General features: G+C 54.2%; 2 annotated features.

Annotated features, from left to right (window-relative positions):
* Positions 2,606 to 3,147: an enhancer, noted in NCBI's record as "NANOG-H3K27ac-H3K4me1 hESC enhancer chr1:1317944-1318485 (GRCh37/hg19 assembly coordinates)". NCBI's record gives its function as "activates a minimal SCP1, AML or CMV promoter by ChIP-STARR-seq in primed H9 embryonic stem cells {active_cell/tissue: H9 hESC(primed)}" and the evidence as "EXISTENCE:reporter gene assay evidence [ECO:0000049][PMID:30033119]".
* Positions 3,148 to 3,690: an enhancer, noted in NCBI's record as "NANOG-H3K27ac-H3K4me1 hESC enhancer chr1:1317401-1317943 (GRCh37/hg19 assembly coordinates)". NCBI's record gives its function as "activates a minimal SCP1, AML or CMV promoter by ChIP-STARR-seq in primed H9 embryonic stem cells {active_cell/tissue: H9 hESC(primed)}" and the evidence as "EXISTENCE:reporter gene assay evidence [ECO:0000049][PMID:30033119]".

Here is a 4,205-nt window from a genome sequence, read left to right as displayed (position 1 = left end):
GATTTTATGTTCTCCTAATTTGCATTGCGCCCAAATGGTGTTGCAGTAGAAAATGAGTTTTGGCCGCGTGGTGGGAGGCCGGGCGCGGTGGCTCAGGCCTGTAATCCCAGCGCCGTGGGAGGCCGGGCGCGGTGGCTCAGGCCTGTAATCCCAGCGCCGTGGGAGGCCGGGCGCGGTGGCTCACGCCTGTAATCCCAGCGCTGTGGGAGGCCGGGCGAGGTGGCTCACGCCTGTAATCCCAGCGCTGTGGGAGGCCGGGCGCGGTGGCTCATGCCTGTAATCCCAGTGCTGTTGGGAGACCGGGTGCTGTGGCTTACGCCTGTAATCCCAGCACTGTGGGAGGCTGAGGCAGGCGGATCACGAAGTCAGGAGATTGAAACCATCCTGGCCAACATGGTGAAACACTGTCTCTACTAAAAATACAAAAATTAGCTGGGTGTGGTGCTGCGTCCCTGTAATCCCAGCTACTCAGGAGGCTGAGGCAGGAGAATCACTTGAACCCGGGAGGCAGAGATTGCAATGAGTTGAGTTGGCGCCATTGCACTCCAGTCTGGCGACAGAGCAAGACTCCATCTCAAAAAAAGAAAAAGCTGTTACCAAAAGCTATAATTTTAGGTTTTAGGGCAGTAAGCAAGAAAAGGCAAGACCAAGAGTCCGCTAGGGTGGGCCTCCAACCTACAATCTTAGAAGAAATGTCAGTGCCAAAACCGTGGGCCATCCAGAGGGTGACCAATAGCACCAAATGCCAAAACCCTGGGGTTCCCAAGTGTTGGCCAATGAGGGTGCACACAACAAATGCCAGAAACCCCAGAGCAGGTGGAAGGCAGCCAACAGTGTACCCCAAAGGCCAAGCTGGGGCCACAGAACGTGACTCTGGCATCTCAGGGTCAACACAACAGGACCTCTCACGGCCAAGTGTCCTGCCTTAAACAGTTGCCCTAATGCAGTTACTGGGGAGTAAGAGCAAAAACCATGAATGAAGCATACATTTCAGGACAGAAAATAAAATGGGCTGGGCACGGTGGCTCACACCTGTAATCCCAGCACTGTGGGAGGCTGAGGTGGGTGGATTGCTTGAGCTCAGGAGTTTGAGACCAGTCTGGGCAAAATAGTGAAACCCCATCTCTACTAAAGATGCCAAAAAAAAAAAAAAAAGGGCTGGGTGCAGTGGCACACTGACGCCTGTAATCCCAACACTGTGGGAGGCCAAGGTGGGTAGATCATGAGGTCAGGAGATCGAGACCATCCTGGCCAATGCGGTGAAACCCCGTCTCTACTTAAAATACAAAAATTAGCCGGGTGTGGTGGCACATGCCTGTAGTCTCAGCAACTCAGGAGGCTGAGGCAGGAGAATCGCTTGAACCCAGAAGGCAGAGCTTGCAGTGAGACGAGATTGCGCCACTGCACTCCAGCCTGGGCAACGGAGCGAGACTCCGTCTCAAAAAAAAAAAAAAAAAAAAACAAGGGAGTGAGCAAGAGGCAGGGAGATGGGAGAATGGAGGCGACTGGCAGTGGAGGCAACATGAGACAGCAAGACGTGCCGCGGTGGGCGATCAACGCTGCCACACGAACCAGAGGCTCTTTTCAGAACCATCCTCTTTTCTGGCCTGTGGTGGAGCCGAGCAGTGGGCGACGGCCACAGCACCGCCACCTCCTGTGAGATCTGTGCTCCGGCCAGGTCCCAAGTCCAAGGGCCTGTTCCCTCACGGCAGCCAAGCAGTGGATTTGGATACCCCATTGCTTGGCCACCCTGGACAGAACCACATCCTTCTCCCCTTCTCTTGGTTGATTCTCCTCTAACCCCAATTTATTTTTGTCAGCCATTTTACTTTATTTCTGAGACAGTCTCACTCTTATCATCCAGGCTGGAGTGCAATGGCACTCCCGAGTAGCTGGGACTACAGGCACCTGCTACCACACCCAGCTAATTTTTTGTATTTTCAGTAGAGACAGGGTTTCGCTGTGTTAGCCAGGATGGTCTCCATCTCCTGACCTCGCGATCCTCCCGCCTCAGCCTCCCAAAGTGCTGGGATTACAGGCGTCAGCCACTGCGCCCGGCCTCCTTGCTATCTTTGTCCTTTCATGACCACCAGATGATCCGTGGCCAGCAAGCCCCCAAATTAGGGCTTAGCCCATGAGGGTTCTTGTCTTCACCCAGGGAAGAATGCAGGTGGTAGTAGACAGCAATCTTTTTTTTTTTCTTTTTTTTAATCGGAGATGGAGTCTCACTTTGTTACACAGGCTGGAGTGCAGTGGCACAATCACAGTTCACTGCAACCTCTGTCTCCCAGGCTCAAACAGTCCTCCCTCCTCACCCTCCCTCTTGCTGGTGGACATTGTGGGTGTCCACTACTGCACCTGGCCCACAGCAATCCAACAGTCTTGCTCTGTCGCCTGGGCTGGAGTGCAGTGCTGCAATCTCAGCTGATTGCAACTTCCTCCTCCTGGGTTCAAGAGATTCTCCTGCCTCAGCCTCCCGAGTAGCTGGGATTACAGGCGTCTGCCACCATGCCTGGCTAATTTTGGTATTTTTAGTAGAGATGGGGTTTCACCATGTTGGCCAGGCTGATCTTGAATTCCTGACCTCAGGTGATCCGCCCACTTTGGCCTGTGCTGGGATTACAGGCGTGAGCAACTGCACCTGGCCCTCAGCATTCCTTTTATTGAACTGGAGCTGGTTCTCATGGGGCAAGGATAATGCCTAGACAGGGGGCCCAGAGCTGCACTTGAGGGCTGTTGACAACTGTATTTATATGCACATTTACTTACATTAAATTAAGGGGTGAGTTACAGGACTTTCTGCGAAAGAGGTGGTAACGTCTGGATTGTTACTGGATTGTTTTGAAAGGGGTGGTAACGTCTGGATTGTTACTGGATTGTTGGAAAAGTGTGGTGACCTCTGGATTGTTACCAGATTGTTTGGAAAGGGGTGGTGACCTCTGGATTGTTACTGGATTGTTGGGAAGGGGTGGTGACCTCTGGATTGTTACTGGATTGTTGGGAAGGGGTGGTGACCTCTGGATTGTTACTGGATTGTTGGGAAGGGGTGGTGACCTCTGGATTGTTAGTGGATTGTTGGAAAGGGTGGTGACCTCTGGATTGTTACTGGATTGTTGGGAAGGGTGGTGACCTCTGGATTGTTACTGGATTGTTGGGAAGGGTGGTGACCTCTGGATTGTTAGTGGATTGTTGGGAAGGGTGGTGACCTCTGGATTGTTAGTGGATTGTTGGGAAGGGGTGGTGGCCTCTGGATTGTTACTGGATTGTTGGGAAGGGTGGTGACCTCTGGATTGTTACTGGATTGTTGGGAAGGGGTGGTGACCTCTGGATTGTTAGTGGATTGTTGGGAAGGGGTGGTGGCCTCTGGATTGTTAGTGGATTGTTGGGAAGGGTGGTGACCTCTGGATTGTTACTGGATTGTTGGGAAGGGGTGGTGGCCTCTGGATTGTTAGTGGATTGTGGGAAGGGGTGGTGACCTCTCGGTCGTTGCCGTGGACTCTCTAAACTGTCAAGGCACGGGGGGACGGCTTACACCAGTGCGCAATGAGGTCCCCCAGGGATCACCTTCCTGGCCATCTGCCCCTTCCTTCTGGTTTCTTTGCTTCATTCTGTCTGGACCAGGAAGACTGTCCTGCAGGTCTCTCATCTCCCTGCTGCAGTGTGCCGATGGGACCAGGGTATCCTGGTGGTCCCCAGCTGGAGACTGGCTGGCTTAGGAGAGGGCACGTGGTGGCTGCCTCCAGTGGTTCCCCAGGAGCCCCAGCATGGTGGGCATCTACTTGCAGTCACCGCTGCAGAGACGTCCAAAGCACTGACCTGCCCTGCCCTGTGTGAAGGGTCATTCCTGCCCATCCACGAGATGACTGGCCCTGCAAGGCTGCCAAGAGAGGAAGTGCAGGCATCAGGGTAGCCCATCCCTGGGACTCCATGCTGCCTGTGTCTCAGCTTCTGGGCCACCATCTGGAGGAAACTGATGGGAGCTCAGGGGGCTCAGGCTAGGGGGAACGTGGCGGGGGTCTGAGAGCTCAGGACACTGCTTAGCACGCTGAGTGCCCAGAACAGTTCCCAGGCGTCAGCTGTGCCAAGGTGGAGAAATGTGTGTGGGACACGCCCCAGAGGACACAGACAGGGCCCATTGTCCCCAGAGCCTCCAGTCCCACCACTCTGGCAGTGTCCAGCTTCCACACAGGGCGCCTCTACTGCCT

The sequence above is a fragment of the Homo sapiens genome, chromosome 1 (genome assembly GCF_000001405.40).
Source record: "Homo sapiens chromosome 1, GRCh38.p14 Primary Assembly".
Taxonomy (NCBI): domain Eukaryota; kingdom Metazoa; phylum Chordata; class Mammalia; order Primates; family Hominidae; genus Homo; species Homo sapiens.
Note: the sequence above shows the minus strand (reverse complement) of the source record. Positions and strands in the feature narration are given on the sequence as shown.